Genomic DNA, 19,525 nt, shown 5'->3' with positions numbered 1-19,525 from the left:
GCGCTCGCTGGGCTCCCGCCCCCGGCGCAGGGAGGGCGCCCCAAACGCAAATGCCGGAGTCGGGTTACAGTGGGCAGCGCCAGAAGCTAGAGAGAGGATGCCGCTGGGGGAGGAGGAGGGGCAGGACAGCAGATAAAGGCCCCTGCCTGCCCCGGGCGGAGTGCCCCGCCCCGTCCAAGGGGCTCCCCGCCCCTCCTTGGGCCTCAGTTTCCCCATCTGCCACCTGAGTGCACTGTGGAGCTGGTATGCAGATTCCCTGCTGATCCTGCCTAAAACCCCTGGTCCCCTGCACAGGCTGCGTCGCGGGTGAATGCGGGTTCTGGCTGCAGCGCTGATCCCAGCAGACCAGGGCCTGTCAGGTGAGGAAAGTGAAGGCATGTCCCCACCTTTTGACCCTTGTCCCCTGTGTGGATGCGGGGAGGGGGCTTTGCTGGGTGGCTGGACCTTTAGGAGCCATGTGCCTCATGGGTTCCTTTGCCAGCTATACCAGTGCACCAGTAGCAGTCCCCAGAGCCAGCTGCCACTCAGCCAGCCCTGAGACTTAGGACAAGCCCCTTCGCCCAGAGGCTGGGGTAATGGAGACAGTACTCACTGTGGCCCCAACTCATTGCTGGCACCCAGCAGGTGCTGCTTCCTGCAGGTCATCTGCTCAAAGATGCCCATTTCAATACCCCCCGGGATCTGGGGCGCCTGGTGCTCAACCTTGCCCTCTCTCTGCCTGGACTCAGCTGGGTCCTTCCAGAAGCAACTCTGACTGCCCCGGCCAGCCTCCGGGGCCACAGTCTTTGACTTCCCTGTCTGAGCTTTCCAGCCCAGGTCTGAGGGCGAATTCAGACTCCATGCTTTCCCGAGCCCCAGCTGGCAGTGCACAGTCCCAGGGAGGGTTTTCCTCCTCCTCCCTGAGAGCTGGGGTGGGGACACCGTGCCTCCTTGTTGTCCCCTGCTGTGGCAGGCTTAGTTCTCGTGGACGCTGAGCGTTCAGCCGTGAGTGGCCCACCTGTTGAGGGTGTCTCCTAGCACAGCCCTCATTCTGGGCTTTTCCTTCCCAGTGGTACCTAAAACAGACAGTTTAAAATCAACGGCATTTTAGATTTGAGGAAATTGAGTGCTAGCTTGTGTCACTTTTTAAGACTCGGGGAGAAGAATTTGGTCATCTTTCCTGGAACCAGCTTCTCTCTTCCACAGTTAAGTTGGAAGGGACAGCCTCTAATCCACAGCGTCTCACCCACGAGGGCCCAACCCACCAAATGGTTCATCAGGGGCAAATCACAAGACAGGGTTAATCGTTCCCAGGGGTAAAAGAGGCATCCAAGTCGTCCCCATCACACCAAATCCCCAGACACTGTCCAGCCAGCCCAGCGGGCAATAGGCCACGGGGAGAGGACCCAGCCACACCTGTGCAGTCAAGGTGGGGCCAGTGAACCAGCAGGTGTGGCCAGAGCCAAGTCTGCAAGAGCACAGCCCCTGGGGCCGGGTGTGTGGTCCCATGGGGGGTGCCCTGCAGGACAAGTTTCTAGGAGAGAAGCCACTTTGTGTCATCAAAAGAGCACAGACTCACCGCTCAAAAGAGCGGCCCACCTTGGGGCTCATGAGGTTGGGGTAGGGTCAGCATGGCAGCCGGAGGAGCCTGTCAGTCGTTGGAAGCCTGCTCCCCAGCTGGACATGGTGTGTGCATGCCGGCATCCCCAGCACTTGCTGCAGAGCGGGTGCTGGGGATAAAAGTGGGTCTGACCCTGTTCCTACCCACCCTATGGCTGGACCCTTGAGAGAAGGGTGCTGGGGCTATGAGCACCTGAGGAGGGAGGGTTGTGTCTGCCTCAGTCAGGTGGAAGGACTTGGCTAAGCAGAGGAGGAGGAAGTACCAAGAGAAGGCCCAGAAAGGATCCAGGCCCCCTGGGGAGAGGCCAGTAGACTAGGGCACCCAGTACTTTAGCCCGAGGCCACGTAGATAGGAGTGGGGAGCAGTGAGGACAGAGAACAGAAAGGGCCAGCAATGCCAGGCTCAGGAGCAGAGACCATAGCCTGGGGACTTCTCAGGGCTTCTGGCAGGAACACAACCTGCTCTCAGCTGCATTTCTAGGAGCTGGCTCTGCTTGGTGGAGGGTGGGTGAGAGGAAGGACTGCTTCGACAGGGACCAGGAAGGGTTCTGGAGGCTTGGCTACGGATGGGTGCCCAGGTGAGGCAGGAGGGCGAGGGTCAGCAAGCACAGAGGGGATGGAGAGAGGGCTCCTGGCTCAGAACCCCTTCTGGCTGAGTTTTGTATCCCATGTGAACAGGAGGGAGGCTCAGGAGAAGCAGATCATGGTCTCAAAAGGACAAGAAGGCAAGCTGAGAGAGAGGACTGTCACTCTGGGCTCCCACAGGGCCTCCCTCTGCCTTACCCGTCATGGAATGCTGCAGCCCTCTGACAGATGGAATCAATAAAAAAACTCCGGTCCCCCAAATAAAATAAATGAGCAGTTATGTCCTGCAAGCTCCCTGCCAGCCTCACAGCCCCCACGGCTCTCTGCTTCCCGCCCACCCACGGGAAAGCCTCCCAAGCTTGCAGCTCCACCGTCAAAACAACAGGAGAAGGCTCCCTCGCTCGCTGCACACAGTGCAGGGCCTAGCCTGGAGGTCTTGGAAGCCCAGCAGGGGATTGCCTGCAAGCCCAGGCATCTAGAAAGCTCTGCTATCCTGGTAATTGGACTGTGGCTAATGCACGGCAGAATTCCCCCCTTTCCATGGAAATGAGACACCCTCTGAATAAAATGTTTATTGATTCACAGCATTCTTGAGACCCAGCATCATTCCACAACACGTTTAAGTGCACATGAAAAATATTTTTCAAATTAAAAAAAAAAAAAAAAAAAAGGCCACAAGCCTAAGGCAAGGGATAGCCCAGTGTGGGAGCCACATGGGCTGGCAGAGAAGTGCGGAGGGAATGCCCTAAGATGCCTGCTCCAGAACATTCCATGGAGCTGCCGAGGAAGGCGAAACATGACAGCAAGCAGTCCCCGTCTCTAAGAAACAGTGTGCCTCCCTCTAACCATGGTGCCTTCCAGCAGGGCAGGGTGCACGCGTTTCCTTGAGTGGCTCTAAAGTAGTGACCAAGGCTTTTAGCCTGGCGGAGATGCAATAACACAGAGTGTAGGCCCCACTGGCTGGCAGGCTCCTCGCACCTGGGGAGCTCCCAGGGACAGGAGAGGGCTCAGCCAAGGAGCTCACAGCCTGGGCTCCAGAACTTTAAATGGGGAACAACCTGCTTCTGCTGTGCACGTGCCCTCCCTTATAAGCACAGGGGCACCGGGGTGCAGCACGGTCTCGAGTTCACGTGCCCTCTGTGAACCAGGGCATGACACCCACCTGTGCCCTCTGTGAATCAGGGCATGACGCCCACCTGCCCCACCTCCTGCTTGGAACCCCTGGGTTGGATTGAACTGGCCAGGTCTGTATTTTAATGTTTTTAACTGCTTCCTGACCACATACCTATAGTTGTTATTATTCCAAACGATAATTTGTTTTATTTGAATTACACTTCATGGGTTATACACACCTTTAAATTTATCCTTTTGGGGGAGGCATTGGTGAGTCAGCAAATAACACCTGGTTTTGGCTGGGTGTGGTGGCTCACACCTGTAATCCCAGCACTTTGGGAGGCTGAGGTGGGAGGATCACTTAAGCTCAGGAATTCAAGACCAGCCTGGGCAACAAAGTGAGACCGCCATCTCTACAAAAAAAAATACAAAAATTAGCCAGGCATGGTGTCCCGTGCCTGTGTCCTCAACTACTCAGGAGGCTGAGGTGGGAGGATGGCTTGAGCATGGGAGGTGGAGGCTGCAGTGAGCTGAGATTGCACCACTGCACTCTAGCCTAGGCAACAGAGTCAGACCCTGTCTCAAAAAGTTTTTTAAAAGTATAATAATAACACCTGTGTTTTTGGGGAAGAATCTGTGAAGCCACCTCAGCTGGGTTCTCCACCGTTAATGCCAAGAGCAAGTGACGACCGCGTGTGTCTTTGAAGAATTCAGCCTCTGGAAGGAAAGAATTTGATGTCCATACTCTCCTTGCATTGCTGGCCTTGGGTGTAAGGTGTCATGATACAGGCTCCATGCCTGCAAGAGCCCACGGTTGAAGCCCATCAGAGAGTCCCATGAGGCAGGGGCCTGAGGTCTTGCAGCCCACCCTACCTCTGCAGGGGATGGCCCTGGGCCTTGAAGAAAACAGCAATGACAGAGGCTGAAGAGAGAATCGTGTCCATTCATTCACTCGCTCACTCATTCACACACACACCTCTCCACCGGGTGCCCGTGTGCACTGTGCACCTTTCCCTGAGCTGTGAAATAGGACAGATGTCACAAAAGTCCTCAACACTGTCCCATGGGGACATTCAATGACATTGATGGTGGGTGCTCCCACCGGGGAATGGCACCCCGTGATTACTAAACTGGGGGTGATGCACACCACTACTCAGGGATGCTCCACCTTCTCTTGGCTCCCCCAGCACTGCTGTTGGGGAGCAAGGGCCCTCCCCATCCCAGGCCACCCTCTCTGGACACCTGGGCCCTGGCTACTACTTCAATCTCTTGACCGTCTCATGTCTAAGATCCAGAGGCCCAGCGGTGGCCTTCAGGGGGAGGAAACAGAGGTCACATGCTCTGATGATATCTTCACCAGAAAAGGCTCTGAGCACACAGACTCCACAGCTTCCGCAGTCAAGATGCCAAACCCCTGGCAAACCATGGAAAGGAAGGCAGGAGACAGGCTCCATCTGCGTGCCCACACAGGCAGTCACAGCGGACAGGCCTGGAGCTGGGGACCCCTAGGCTTCCAGAGATGGGCATGTCCCAGGGACTGCCCGTGCCTGCCAGGTCCTGACCACAGACTATCAGATGTGAACTCTGGGAGCCCCCAACCAGACTCCGCCCCGGCATTTATCTCCCAAACCTGGGCAATGCCGAGAACAAATCGGAACAATGCTAATAACCAGGTTGGAGAAACAGGTGTCCATCTGGGCTGCACAACAGACCCTGAGCAAGAGTGACCACCTCACCCACATGAACAGCAGTCACTTATAGCACGCCCACGAGTACCATATGCCACACAGGGCACTTCCCTACCCACTGTCTCGAAGCATCGCCATGACCCCAGAACAAGGGTGAGGAAGCTAAGGTTCAGAGAGGAAAAGCCACTGTCCCGGGGCCACCCAGCAGCCAGGCAGCCCAGCCCCGAGCTCTCCTCCGCCACTACTGCTGTCCACACCCACATCCGGCCCTCTCCTCCTCCTCCTCCTGTACTTCAGCCTTAGCTCAAAGTCAAGCCACTGGTGTCTGGGGGTCCCCAGTGGCATCTCTGTGGCAGGGCCAGTGCCCTTTCCACAGGGCTTCTTAGAAGGTGGGGGCGATGAGCCCTGCCAGGCCCTCAGTGTGTCTGCTGCAGGCAGGAATCATTCTCTGTGTCCACAGAGCCGTTGTGGGTGGACGCTGGGCGCGGGGTTCTCTTCAGCAGCTGGTGCACCATGCCGGCCACATCCAGAGAGCTGTCATGGGTGGATGCTGGGCGCGGGGTTCTCTTCAGCAGCCGGTGCACCATGCCGGCCAGGACTTGGCGGAACGGCCGGCGGAGCAGAGAGTACGTGAACGGGTCGGCCACCGCCTTGCTGTAGGTCAGGCACTTGCTGAGGATGCCCCACTGGGCGTTCACGGTGACGAAGGGCACGAGCTCCGCCAGCCTGTTGGGGAAGCGGAGCAGCTAACTCAGCCACAGTGACAGCACCTGCCACGCACTCACGCTCCGGGGGAAGGTGCTAGAACCATACTCAAGTACGTACCGCAGCCCTGATGCTCACTAGCCAGGGGGCTCTGCACCAGCACCCTGAGCCTTGGGCTCCTCTTCCTAAAATGGGATTACAAGGCCCAGTCCTGGGACTGCGGTGCAAGCCGACATCAGCCCGCATACCACACAGCAGGTGCTCAGTAGGTGGCAGCACTGCCACCGTCACCAAGGCCTTCTCCCACCATCCTCACACTCAGCTCAGTCCACCCACCTGCACGTACACCTGCCGCGGACACCTGCACACACAACCAGCTACCGAGGGAGCCATTACCACTACCAGGCTGCAGACCAACACACCCCAGATGTGAGCTCTGGGAGCCCCCAACCAGACTCTCCTCTGGCATTTATCTCCCAAACCTGGACAATGTTGAGAACAGATCAGAACAATGCTCATAACCAGGTTGGAGTAACAGGTGTCAACCTGGGCTGCAGAACAGACCCTGAGCAAGTGTGACCACCTCACCCACATGAACAGCAGTCACTCACAGGATGTCCACGGGCACCACACACCACGCAGGGTGCTTCCCTACCCACTGTCCCGAAGCATCACTCAGAGAAGCTCGAGGGTGTCTCTAGGACCACCAGGCACACAACTCCCATAAGAAAGGCTCAGTCTCACACTCTGTGTCTGAGCCCAGTGCTTTTCTGAAATCAGATTAGAACTCAGAGTAGAAGGGACTGGGCTCTGCGTGGGGGAAAGCAGCAGGGGGATGGGCCTCTGGGGACTCTGACGGACCCCTCCGCTCTCAGCACAGCCTAGGGTAGGGGCCATGGAGTCAGGACAAGGCTTCTGACCAGCGGCAGCACAGCCTTAGGTGGGGGCCACAGAGTGAGGACGAGGCTTCTGACAGCTGTCACAAGCACACTTGCTGACCAGTGGCAGCTGTTCCACCTCCCAGTTCCTGGCTTTGAACCAGGGCCCCCAAAGGCCAGGGCTTTCCCCCACAGCCTGATGATCTCCCAGGCAGTGAATTTCTGTCCCAGGATGTCCCACCCCCACTCAGAAGGACTGCAGCCCTGTGATTTACAAGTTTGGCTGGGTCACTCATTAGTTTGGACCACCCACAAACACAGCAGCTGCTGGGGTGCAGCAATGGATCAGACTGACTCCCTCCCTCCGAGGCACCCAGTCCGGCGGGATGGGGATGAGGAGGCTGGCAGGCAGGCAGGCAGGCAACCACCTCAAGCTGAGGGGCAGGGCCAGAATGTGACGACAGAGAGAAGGTGAGGGGCACAGCCAGAGCAGAGGCATCCAGAATCCAAAAATCAGGGCAGGGACACAGATCCAAGGCAGTCATGGCTCTAACCACCTACCCCAGGCTGTGGTGAGGATCCAGTTACAGTAAGTGATAGTCCGGAAAGGGCTTTGCCACCGGCCAGCACATGCACATCAGGTACACTGTCACCCCCACATACAGGGAGCCCAATATCAGGCATAGACTGGAGACTGGTCACAGCCAACCATCAGGCAAGTGGGAAGGAAGGTCCTATCGAAGGATCTGAGGAGGCTGGCATTTCTTTCAGCCACTAGGGGACTGGGCTGCAGGTGAGTAAGAAAGCCACACACATGCCAGAGTGTCTATCCCCTAGTTAAGCCACGGTGCAGGTGGAAGTCATCAGAAACACCCAGCTGAGGCTGTGTCTGGAGCCACAATGGGACCAGAACTCATGTATCAACTACCAGCCATGACCCTGCAGAGAAGAGGGCTCGCTCACGTGTCCACTGCTGCTCAACACCTTGTGACCGTAGCCATCTGCCCTCCCCCGTCTCCAGTAGACCACAGACTCCACAAGGGAGGGCTCTGTATCCCTGCCCTCCTGGTCTCACTGCCGCACACCCCACGGGCTTCATCTGCACGACTGATTGAGTCAGTAAAACTCAAGAGTGACAACCAAGAAACAAAATAAAAATCCCATGTCCCCCATCTCCTTTACCTGCTTTATCCGCATGAACTGGCTCAAGGTGACTTGGAGTTATTTCTAACCAGATTAAATTCACCTTCTAGATGTCCACAGAAGAGTCTAACAATGCAGCCCAGTTCTGAAAACAATTCCCAGGAGAAGAGCTCTGAAATATTTTCAGCAATTGCAGGACAATTGGAATGAGTGCACTACCTTTTAAGGGGCAGCAGGGACAACACACTCCTGGATCTCTGACTTCCTGTGGGTTAAGCCACCAACTGCATTAGAACCTCATCCACACACACTCAGGAGTGAGGTTCTGATTCGGTTCACTCCTATGATGTGAGAGGCGCCTGTGAGGCAGGTCCGTCCAAACTGGTCCAGCTGTGCTGCTCCCAGGCGCCAGCCCTCAAGACCCCTCCCCCACTGAAACACCTGCCTGGTCTTGCTGACCTGCATCTCCCACCATCAGAACCGAGAGGAGCCTGTGTTCCATTTGCTTTTGTAACTGCATGACCAGGCACAAAGCCAGCTCAGAGTAGGTGCTCATTAAATGCTTAGTGAGTGCATGAAGAAATATATAACCTCGTTAGTGCTATATTGTACCCACATTTTTCACAGAGAAGAGAGCCTGAGCTGCCCAGATCCCAGAGTTGGTAACGACATTGTGGAAACAACACTGCAAAGGCAGGCTTCATGACTTTGTTTGGGATTCTTCCTCTTACACTCGTGTGCACACTCATAGCTATGCATGCTCACATACATGTTCAGGGCATTGTAAACACACAGGAAAATAACAGTTACACCCATGAATCAACATAATATGGCTGAGTAAGCCAGTCTCACTCATCATTCATTTAAAATTTCAAAACTAAATGCTGGAGCTCTTGAAATTTTAGCACTCACCTTCTACACATATGTACATGCATGTGCATGTATGAATACACACATGCATGTGTGTATACACATGAACCCTCACAACATACACATGCATGCATGCGCAGGCACATGGGCACACATACACACAAACATGATAATCAGATAAATAGCTGGTTCCCGGGAGAAGGATGCTACAGTTTCCCCATCCACACTTGTGCCCATGAAGTTTCCTAAGAACCAGAGGCCTTTGCCAGGTTTTATGTGAGGAAGGAGGATGCCTGTGATCCACAAGAAACCTGGCTCCCTGTCCCTAAGCCAGATGGGATCAGTGGTGCCAAGAGCTCCTGTCCCACGTGCTGATTCTGAAGAGCTCAGAGGGAACCTGGCAGGCAGGAGAGAGCTGGTGCCACTCAGCGTGGGCACTCTGGGGCCTCCCGGGTTCCTGGGACACAACTGTTTCCCCCCCACCCACCCAACAACATATCTAAGCCACCCAGTAACCTGGGAAGACAAGCAGTCATCCTGGACAGGCTGGCAGACCTTGTAGGGCATTAGATAGCAACCTCAGGAGGACCCTACACAAACAGAGCCAGGATCCTGGTACTATACTCCCTGCTGGCTCCCTCCCCTGGGGTGGGGACCTGGGCCCCTTGAGGATGAGGGCCATGGACCCCTCCCAGGAGCGTCTTCCTTCAGGGTATCCTCCTGCTATGGCTCAACACATAGGGTGGAGACCTCCCAGACAGCCTGAGCGCTTCAGGGGCCTGGCCAGAAATTCCATGGAGATTCCAAGAAAGGCAAAACGTAATAGCAAGCAGTCACCATCTCTAATAAACAACCTGCCTCCCTCTAACCACGGTGCCTTCCAGCAAGGCAGGGTGCACACATTTCCTTGAGTGGAGCTAAGGTAGTAACCAAGTGGCCGAGTGGGTGACCCAGGAACCCCGGAGGCAAAAACTACAGACTCCCCTGCCCCTCAGCACAGCACTGTGATGATGGTACCAGCAGGCCCTTTACACACACTCTTTCCCAAATTACCTGTGACTCCAGGTAATTCTGACCTGACAAGCACTCAGGCCAAGGTCTCCAGGAAAGAGAGAAGCAAAGAGAACACTCACCTGGCAGTGTTACTGCCCCGAGGCTCCAGCTGGAGCTTCCACCCAGATTCCCAACTCCACGCCCAGGAGATGCGGAGTCTGAGGCCTGAGTTAGTCCCAGGTTGCCTGATTTTGAAAGCTTTCTAGGTTTAAAGAGCCAGGTGCTGATTCACAGACCCCATATCTGCCTGTGCCTGGACAAGGAGAGTCTCCTCATTTATAGGACAGGATGGGAGCCAGTGCCACCTCCCTCCCAGGATCTTTCCCAGGAGCTGAAGCACAGCCCTGAGCCCGTCAGGTGTGGAGGAGGGTCCTCTGGTGGTGGCCGCCCTCCAGATATCTTGCTGGGAAACCTCAGAGGCCTACTCAACTGAGGCCAAGCCCACCCAGCTGTTCCCACAACAGGAGCCGGACTGCCAGGACCCACCTGGTCATGACATACGGGGCAAAGCAGATGAGGAAGGTCGCAATAGCAATGCCAATCTTCCTGGTGGCGCGGTGGCGGCGCCGCTTCTGCTGGATGAGGCAGCGCTGCCGCACACTGTGGGGACAGAGGACAGTGGTCAGGATGATGGCAGGGTGGGGACAGAACCCAGGCCCAGAGCCCAGGGGCTGAAGTGAGGGCAGACAGGAGGGTTTCAGGAGGATGTTTAGCCTGGAACCTGAGGAGGACAGAGGGATGGGGGAGAGAGAAAGAACAAGGGGTAGGCTTGCTTTTTTGTAGGTGAAATAAAGGAAGTCTGGAAAGAAGGGCCAGCTCCTCCTCCCTTCCCTCTGGCTCATCCTTCTCCACACAGAGGCAACTGAGGCAGGCTGCTGATGGAGGGGCAAGGCTGGGGCCCTCAAGGAGGGAGAAGTCACGTGGCCTGCCCACCCCAGGAGCAGGAGAGCCTCTTGGGTGTTCTGTGGGGGGCCAAGGGGGAAAGGGGAACACCTACAGGAGGTAATTTGGAACAATGGCGACACCAGCTAGAGATTCAGGAGACAAATCCTGCCAAGTAGTGAGCAGAAAGCATGGGGGATGGACCCTGCTCAAGACTTGAAGCCCAAGTCCATGCAAGGGCACTGGGTCAGCAGTGGGCAGAAACAAGCAGATGCCTCAGACCCACAGCCATGCACAGGAGGGGTGTGTCTGGCCGCCCACAGCAGAGCCCGCGGAACCCCTCCCGGAGAAGCACACCCCACAGCTCTGCGCAAAGCTCCCTGTGCACTGAGCACATATCCCAGGAGGCAGAGGCCCCCGCAGTGTCTGCACCAATGAACCAACAGGAAACCCCTGTGAGCAGCGTGCAGGGGCAGTGCTGTGGCTGGTGAACTCTGGGCGGAGTAACGGTGGTGATGCCCACAGGCTCCTCAAGCCAACTGCCCAGGGAGCGCCCAAGTCCCTGGCCTGGGCCTGTCGGCATGCACTGGGCCAATACCTGGGGTGCAGGTCGGCGAGCAGCGCGAGCGCCTTCATGGTGACGGTGTCCATGCGCTGGCAGTGTCTGCGTGCCACCCGGTGCACCTGGAGCGAGGTGAGGCAGAGCACCGCCAGCGGCAGCACGAAGCCCACGGCATGGAGCGTGGCGGTGAAGGCTGCGAAGCGCGGACGCTCAGGCTCGGGCGGCAGGCGCAGCGAACAGGACGCGAAGGCGCTGCTGTAGCCAAGCCACGAGCAGCCAAGTGCAGCGCCTGAGAAGGCCAGCGACTGTCCCCAGGCACAGCCCAGCAGCAGGCCGGCATAGCGCGGTCGCAGGCGTCCGGCGTAGCGCAGTGGGAAGCCCACTGCCAGCCACTGGTCTGCGCTCAGCGCCGCCACGCTCAGCGCCGCGTTGGACGCCAGGAAGGTGTCCAGGAAGCCAATGACTTGGCATGCGCCGGGCGCCGACGGTGTCCGCCCGCGCATCACACCGAGCAGCGTGAAGGGCATGTCCAGCGCCGCCAGCAGCAGGTGGCCCAGAGACAGATTCACCAGGAGGACGCCTGAGGCTCGAGTGCGGAGCTCAGCGCTGTAGGCGCAACAAAGCAGCACCAGTGCGTTGGATAGCAGCGCCACGGCCAGTACCATCACCAGGAGACCCGCCAGCAGCGCCTCGCCGGGGCCCATGGCGCTAGCGGCTCGCCAGGCACCCTGGGGTTCTCATGGCTCTGCTTCGGGCGCGAGCCTGGGAAAGTGAGGCGATGGAGCAGCTGAGCGGCGCGCCCACGGCTTCTGGGAGGTGCAGAGCCGGCTAGCAAGGTCCAGAGCAGCGCGAGGAAAGCGGCGGCAAGTGCAGGGTCCGGGGCACCCGGGGGGAGGGCGTAGCTCTGCGGAGCAGGAGCAGCCCGGGGCCGCCCTGGAGGCAGCGCAACCGCGGTGCTGTCCAGGGTGCTGAATGCGCTCACCGTCCCGGCAGGACTGTCCTGAGGCTGAAGCGAGGCGCAGGGGCGCGGGGCGTAGGGGCGAGGGAGGTCTCTTTCCTAACACTGTATCTTTCCTTCTTCTCTCCTCGTGGCGTGGCAGGATGGGACTCTGCGCGCTTCTGTTCCGGGCCAGGTCAGTCCCTGCCCTGGTCACACCTCCAGCCGAGCCTCCCAGCCCTGGTTCGCGCGCAGCTGACACGCCAGCAAGAGCCACTCAGTGGATCCTAGGCAGCACAGCCCTCGCCACGCCTCTCCCTCCAGGCGCTGGCACCAAACTGGAGCGACCTGGTGGCTTATAGGGGCGGTAGGGGCGGGAATGAATTGGCAAGAAGCTGTGCAGGCGGGGCAGAGGGAGTGACGGGGCGGGGAAGGGGGCGGGGGCTGCCCTCAGGACTTCCTCCCATCCCCCAGCCTCAGCCCAGGAACTGTGACTGCATCGACGTTTGTTGAAGCAAGAAGAGCGACAAGAAGTGGAAACAAGGTTGAGAAAGGCATGGGGGAAGGAAAGAGAAGAAGAAGAAAAAGTGAAGAAAAAGTGAAGAGGAAGTGGGGGGAAGAAGAGGGAAGAGGAGAGAAAAGCAACAGAGGGAGAGACAAAGAAGGGGGCACCTTGGGAGGACCCACCCAGAACTGGGTGCCATACAGAAATGCCTGTCCTTCACCTGGCTCCTGGAGCCCCGCGGTGCGAGGCCTCTCCCACCTCCGCCATCCTCTGTGGTGGCTTCTGAGCCTTCTCACCCAGTGGGAATCTTCTAATCCATTCGTGGCCACTTGGCAGGACAAGGATATGGTGAAGCCTCCTGGAAGCTGCTTCTTCCAGGAAGCTTTTTGGCATTTTCTCCCCAGTGACAGCCACAACATGACAGAAATGAAGGGCAGACGATTGCCCACCCCTCCCCACACCCACCCTCACCTGCAGGCTCTGCCAGCCCTTTCTGAGGGACAAAGGGTGGCTGGTGGTGTGGAGGCTCACCCTGTGGGCCTCTCTCGTGCCGGTGCTGCAAAGTGGCCAAGGGAAAAGCCACAGGTGCACAACTGGCATGCTGGGGCACCCCTGGTTCTGTGCCTTGGGCCTCACATTCTCATCTGTCACATGGGGATATTCATAGCCCCACTTAAACCCCTTGGGCCTCACATTCTCATCTGTCACATGGGGATATTAATAGCCAGCAATAGCATCTGCCTCTGGTGGTTGCTGTTAGGGTTAAATTGGCCAACATGCACAAAATGCTGAGGACATCCCAGCAGGCAGTGAAGGATCAGAACACAGTCAACCTTTATTAGGGGGTCCGTCTTATACCTGGGCAAAGGAAGTTTCATTCAAGTGTCTCTGCCAAGTCCCCATAACTACAAACCAGGAATGCCGAGATTCATACCTCAGTCCTTCTGGCTCTAAGTCCAATGTCCTTGTCATCCAGAGAGGCCATCACACCAGCTCCAAGCCATTGCCATCCATCAAATACAGAGGCTTTCTCTCTCCCCATTTCTCCCTGGCACTCCCACAAACCTGCTTTCAAATTTTCACCAAATTAGACCTTCCCTGAAGCTAGAGCAGCCACGTCAAAGTTTTCCTGACATGTCCAGGAAGAGTGGGCCACTCTGCAGCTTCTGCAGATCAAGCAAGTTTGCAGGTGAATAGCTGGGACAAAGTGATTGTGATAGTGGGGGCTTGAGAGCAGGGGCCTCCCCCAACCCCTCCAAGGCTTCTGAGCGACCATGTGCAGCTCTGGGGAGCGGTGGAGTCATCACGTGGCTTCACAGGGAGACTTTGGTCTAGCCACTCACAGCAGCCTCTGTCACCTCTCAACTACTCCAAAGGGAGACAATTCCACTTGCAGGGGAGCAGAGAGCATCTCTTCTGAGACATGAGCATGGGGAAGCTCCACCAGCCTGTATTATGAAAGGCAGGCCATTTGCTCATCTGCAAGGATGTACTGGACAACTGCATGAATGAGAAAATGTGTGTGGTGAGATCTCTGGACTCTGGTGAGGGCACCTTGATAGGTCTAGATCTGTTCTGTTTGCTGCTCTCCCCAAAGCCCCAGTGCTTCTGGCCTCAGATCTTGCCAGCCTGGCTGCCCCCCTTCCCTGGGTTGTAGGGGGTGGTTTTGAACCCTGTGGTCTTATCAGTATAATATCGTTTCATCTTCTTACACTCAAATCTCATTCCTGATGAAAAATTTAAATCCTCTGTAGGGTGAAATGCTGGACCTAATCCTTTTATCTTCCAAAAAGAAAAAGTATATGAAAATATTAAATATTTTCACCACTTCTTTAAAAAGTAAGGCAGTACTCCTAACTATGCAATCCTGCCCATTCTTGCTGAGATACGCATTGCAATGATAAAGTTCAGGATTAGTTCCCGAAGGCTCCTCCCCTGCCTAGTGATAGTTCATGGTTCCCCATTGCCTATGAAATTCCTTAGCAGCCCCTCCAAGTCTACCTACATCTGGTCTTAGCCACTCATGACGGGCCCTTTGCTGTTGCTGTCACTCACACACAGACACACACATGCACACACACGCACACAGGCACACATGCAAGCACACACACACTCACACCATCTAGCCACATCCCCTTTACTCATCACCCATGCACTTAACCCACATTACCTGACTTTGTCTGTGTTGCTGACTTGGCCTGAATGCCCTCTCTGTACTTTCCTTTTCATCTACTCCTCTAAGACAAAGCTCTGCTAAGCCTTCCCCTGTCAGCCAGGGAGAGTCACACCTCCTCAGAGCACCTTCCGAGACTTCCATCTCAGCCCCAACAGAAGTGCTGGGCTGAGATGAAGTGCAGAGGCTGAGATGCCACTGCTGCTTAATTAAAGTGAATGGCTTAATTGTTTCCTTATCTGAAAAATAGGGGCAGGAAGACCCATCTTCGAGGGGTGGGGTAAGAATTAAATAAGGTTACATTCAATAGGTGTAAAAGAAATAAGCTTAGTACTAAAGCAAGTTTAAATAAAATCAAATGAGCTCAGTTAACCATTGTTCTTTTCCCGCTTTTCTCATTTTTCCTCCCCAGTTGCATGTAACAAGCTGTCGGTGTATATCTGTGGAAATGAATTTGTCATCAGTGATAGCACTGCAATATGATGTAATTGATACAATTCACTTATCTCACAAAATAAGCTTGCTGTTTCTCCTGGGGGGCCAGGGTGGTTGTATTGATCAGATCTGACTTTGTCCACGTCTTCTCTCTGCTCAACAAAGTGAAGAAATCAAGCCTTGTGTGATCACCACAGTCTGCTGTATCCAGCACATTCTCTTGTACACGCTGGGTGCCCAGTACATCCTTGCAGATGAGTGAATGGCCTGCCTTTCCGTAATACAGGCTGGCGAAGCTTCCCTGCGCTCATGTCTCAGAAGAGATGCTCTCTGCTCCCCTGCAAGTGAAATCGTCTCCCCCTGGAGTCATTGAGAGGTGACAGGGGCCGCTGTGAGTGGCTACACCAAAGTCCCCTTGTGAAACCTCCTGACACCTCCACCACTCCCCAGAGCTGCACGCACATGGTCACTTAGAAGCCTTGGAGGGGCTGGGGGAGCCCACAGCTATCAAGCCCTGACTGCAGGAAAGCAACTGGAAGGAACAATCTGGCATGTTAACAAAAATGATTGCTCATAGACAGGCGGAAAAGAGAAAGGAGGAAGGTGGAAAGACAGGGAAATGAATGAAACTTCCAAAAACGGGAAGGCGGCAAGTGCGTGATTCTATTCCCCTACAGCATAGTCCTGTGCGGCCATTAAAAAGCAGGTGTCAGCCCAGCATGGTGGCTCATGCCTGGAATCCCAGCACTTTGGGAGCCCAAGGCATGTGGATCAGGAGTTTGAGACCAGCCTGACCAATATAGTGAAACCCCATCTGTACTAAAAATAAATAAATAAATAAATAAATAAATAAATAAATAAATAAAATACAAAAATTAGCCAGGCATGGTGGTGTGCACCTGTAATCCCAGCCACTCAGGAGGCTGACAGGAGAATCACTTGAATCCAGGAGATGGAGTTTGCAGTGAGCTGAGATCGTGCCACTGTACTCCAGCCTGGGCAACAGAGCGAGATTCCATCTAAGAAAGAAAAGAAAAGAGAAAAGACAAGACAAAAAGGAGAGAGGGAGAGAGGGAGGGAGGGAGGGAGGGAGAAAGAGCGAGAGAGAAAGAAAAGCAGATGTCCCAAGGAAAAATCCCACTGTGGATTGTTTAGCGGAAACCACTGAGAACACTGGGACCTCTGAACAAGGTATAGAAGCACCGGATCCTGATGCCAGGCCACCAGTCATGGTCACCAATGGCTGATGGAGCTAGGAGTGGTTGGTTGTTTTTCTGTGTCTTTACACTTTCCTGTCACTTTTACATTTTCTGTGAGAGCACGAAATGCTTTGAAAATCAGAAAATCACTCAGGAAGAAAAGCCTAGATCAAGCACTCCATCTGGAGGCCTCACCATCATGACTGGATTTAATTTTGTTTTCCTGCCTTGGAGCATCTTAGTTTTGTAAAATCCCAGTAGAAATTATCTTTCCAGGAGGAGGGAGGAAATGTGGAGGGAAGAGAGAGACAGAGAAAAGGAGAGAGAGAAAAGGGGAGGGAGGGAGAGAGGGAGGGAGGGAGGGAGAGAGGGAGGGAGGGAGGAAGGGAGAGAGGGGGAGAGAGGGAGAGAGAGGGAGAGAGAGGGAGAGAGAGGGAGAGAGAGGGAGAGAGAGGGGGAGGGAGAGAGAGGGGGAGGGAGGGAGGGAGGGAGAGGGAGGGGGAGAGAGAGAGAGAGAGAGAGATCATGAGCATGGAATTCCTTAGAATAGCAGAGAGGTAGGAAAGTATTACAGCTGGCAATATTATCCACACACTTAGAAATCACACATGCCCTCAGCAGCAACACATTCCCACTAATTCCTCAATGAAACACGGAAGGGTCCCTCAGTGCCATGGAGCTGGGACCTGTGACTACAGGGCAAATAAGATCTGTCCCTGTCTTCTGGGAGTTCACGGGCCGGGGGCCAAGGGCAGGCCAGAAACTGGGCATGACTCCTCCAGGTATGACTGAGGCTGAGGGAGGCTCCAGGCTCTGGGGGACCCTTGGGTGGCACCTGACCCAGCCTGGGTCTCCCCAGAGCAAGAGAATTTTGAAGGACAGCAGAGTTTGACAAGAAGGGATGAGTAAGAGATTATCAGATGGTAAGGAGGAGGAAGGGGTCAGCGGGAAGCAAAGTTCAAGGTTGTGGACTATGGCCAGGGCAACCCCTAAAAAACCTGGAATGCCAGGCTAAGTGATTTGGGATTTGTCCTAGAGGCTGTGGGATGTCAGCAAAGGCTGCTGGCAGGGGCTGTGTCCTGACCTTTCAGTCTGGCAGCCCTGGAGGCCTTTGGGGTCTTGGTCAGTGCAGCCTGAGCTCCTGCTGCTAAGAAGCTCTCAGCTGGGAAGGACCAGCTCTGCACTGGCCCCACCCTGTGTGAAGAACCCTCCAGAGGAGAAAGGGGTTTGTGTGGGCTGGTCCTAGAGTCTCAGCTGAAGGTCACGAAGCAGCCCGGAGCCCTGCCTACCTGATCACCTGCACAGGGTCCCTTTATCCTCAGAGACAACCCTGCAGCCAGGGCATCATGCTGGGCCACTCACCTGGCCTCCTGTCCTCCTGAAGCACCTGCAACTCTGGAAAGCTGTTCCCAGAGGCAGCCCCAGTGCAGGGAGCCAACCGGGCCCCTTGGCTGCTCTGGCCCCAGGGGTGGCCCACCCTGGCAGGCCTCCTGCAACAGGAGGCTGAGGAGGTAGGCCCTAGCCTCAACCAGATGGAGGACATCAGGATGGAAAGAATCCACAGCCAAGGTAAGAGTGTCTCCCGATACTTGGAAGAAAACTCTGGCACTAGGAAGGAAAAGGGTTCCGGCTGAGGAGCCATTCAGGCCTGGGTTGATTCTGCACCTTCTCTTCTGAGCAGTATGGCCTCATCCTCCCTGAGCCTCAGTTTCCTCATCTGCAGCGTGGGAACTCAGAAGCTTCCCCATAGGGTTGGTATGAGGATTAAAAGAGGCATGAGTTGCTGGGCACAGTGGCTCATGCCTGTAATCCCAGCACTTTGGGAGGCTGAGGCAGGCGGATCACTTGAGCCCAGCAATTTGAGACCAGCCTGGGCAACATGATGAAACTCCATCTCCAGAAAATCATGTAAAAATTAGCCAGGCATGGTGGTGTACAGCTGTAATCCCAGCTACTCAGGGGAGTGAGGTGGGAGGATCACTTGAGCCCAGGAGATAGAGGCCGCAGTAAGCCAAGATCACACCACTACACTCCAGCCTGTGCGACTGAGCAAGACCCTGTCTCAAAAAAAAAAAATTTTTTTTTTTTTGAGACAGAGTCTCTTTCACCCAGGCTAGAGTGTAGTGGCACTCTACACGCCGTGTACCACCACGCCTGGCTAATTTTTGTACTTTTAGTAGAGACGGGGTTTCACCATGTTGGTCAGGCTAGTCTCGAACTCCTGACCTCAGGTGATCCACCCGCCTCGGCCTCCCAAAGTGCTGGGATTACAGGCACAAGCCACTGCACCTGGCCCCAAAAAACATTTTTTTAATAAATAAAAGAGGCATAAGTGTCACCACGAGTGTCACAACCGCCCCCACAGCGGTCACCCGGACACGCCGATGCTCAGACGATGCCACCCAAGGTGCACTCACAGAGGGGCTGCAGCCAGGACAAAGGAGACCCATGGGCATCCTTTCACCCACTTATTCCACAAGCGCTTGCCCCTCTTATGCGCCAGGGCTGAGCCAGGAACCAGGAGGTTGATGGCTGCCTCCACACCCAGGGTGGAACAGGGGCCTGGAGAGAGGGGTGCAGGTAAGGCGCAGCAGGCCACAGAGGAGAGGCCATCAGTTCTCACTGGGCAGTCAGAACGGCCTAAGAGACAGGCTCTCCCTTGGGTTCAAATCCTTCCCCTCTTCCCCTCCCCCGCTGCCTCCTGGATGTGAGTGGCCTCAGGCAGGGAAGGTGACCATCTTTCCGCCATCTTATTATCTTTAGTGTGGGAAGAAACTTCTCCTGTCTCTCATGGACGCCTAGGCACAGTAAGTGTGACATTTACCATGAGAACAGTTAGGATTCTCACTAGGTGGAAGGTAAGGGAAACCATGGTGTATCTTTAAGTAGGAATCAAGAGACACAGTGGGGCCTCCATGGCCACAAGGGCCCACTGCTTGCTTGAGGCTGAGGCTGTGGGTCCCCGCAAGGTGCGGCCCCTCCACCTAGGACATGGGAGGCCCTGTCAGAGCAGAAACCACCTGCGTCATGGTTCCAGGGAAGAAGCTGGATGGTGGACCTAGGTGGCACACACCTGTGGTCCCAGCTACTCTGGAAGGCAGGAGGATCGCTTGAGTCCAAGAGTTGAAGGCTGCAGTGAGCTATGATTGTACCTCTGCACTCCAGCCTGGGAGACAGAGCGAGACTGTGGCTCAAAAA

At 55.6% G+C, this 19,525-nt stretch overlaps 1 protein-coding gene across 2 annotated transcripts, besides 3 other annotated features; it reads right to left on the bottom strand.

The window, feature by feature from the left end:
• Window positions 1-2,741: 2,741 nt before the first annotated feature.
• GPR78 (G protein-coupled receptor 78) lies at window positions 2,742-12,373 on the bottom strand. Of its 2 annotated transcripts, none has more exons than NR_045511.3 (3): window positions 12,061-12,373; window positions 10,121-10,234; window positions 2,742-5,711 (listed from the first exon to the last, which is right to left on the bottom strand). NR_045511.3 is itself a non-coding variant. In NM_080819.5 (3 exons), exons 1-3 carry the CDS (start codon window positions 11,780-11,782, stop codon window positions 5,402-5,404), a joined length of 1,092 nt encoding a protein of 363 aa, NP_543009.2. In that variant the 5' UTR covers window positions 11,783-12,373; the 3' UTR covers window positions 2,742-5,401. The 2 variants fall into 2 exon arrangements, 1 of the variants encoding a protein (NP_543009.2); NM_080819.5 differs by having other exon boundaries at window positions 11,115-12,373.
• Window positions 5,157-5,657: an enhancer, noted in NCBI's record as "H3K4me1 hESC enhancer chr4:8588835-8589335 (GRCh37/hg19 assembly coordinates)". NCBI's record gives its function as "activates a minimal SCP1, AML or CMV promoter by ChIP-STARR-seq in primed H9 embryonic stem cells {active_cell/tissue: H9 hESC(primed)}" and the evidence as "EXISTENCE:reporter gene assay evidence [ECO:0000049][PMID:30033119]".
• Window positions 11,552-12,213: an enhancer, noted in NCBI's record as "H3K27ac-H3K4me1 hESC enhancer chr4:8582279-8582940 (GRCh37/hg19 assembly coordinates)". NCBI's record gives its function as "activates a minimal SCP1, AML or CMV promoter by ChIP-STARR-seq in naive H9 embryonic stem cells {active_cell/tissue: H9 hESC(naive)}" and the evidence as "EXISTENCE:reporter gene assay evidence [ECO:0000049][PMID:30033119]".
• Window positions 17,540-18,094: an enhancer, noted in NCBI's record as "H3K27ac-H3K4me1 hESC enhancer chr4:8576398-8576952 (GRCh37/hg19 assembly coordinates)". NCBI's record gives its function as "activates a minimal SCP1, AML or CMV promoter by ChIP-STARR-seq in primed H9 embryonic stem cells {active_cell/tissue: H9 hESC(primed)}" and the evidence as "EXISTENCE:reporter gene assay evidence [ECO:0000049][PMID:30033119]".

This window comes from Homo sapiens, chromosome 4 (assembly GCF_000001405.40).
Source record: "Homo sapiens chromosome 4, GRCh38.p14 Primary Assembly".
NCBI lineage: Eukaryota > Metazoa > Chordata > Mammalia > Primates > Hominidae > Homo > Homo sapiens.
The sequence above is the reverse complement of the archived record's forward strand: the minus strand, read 5'-3'. Positions and strand labels throughout refer to the sequence as shown.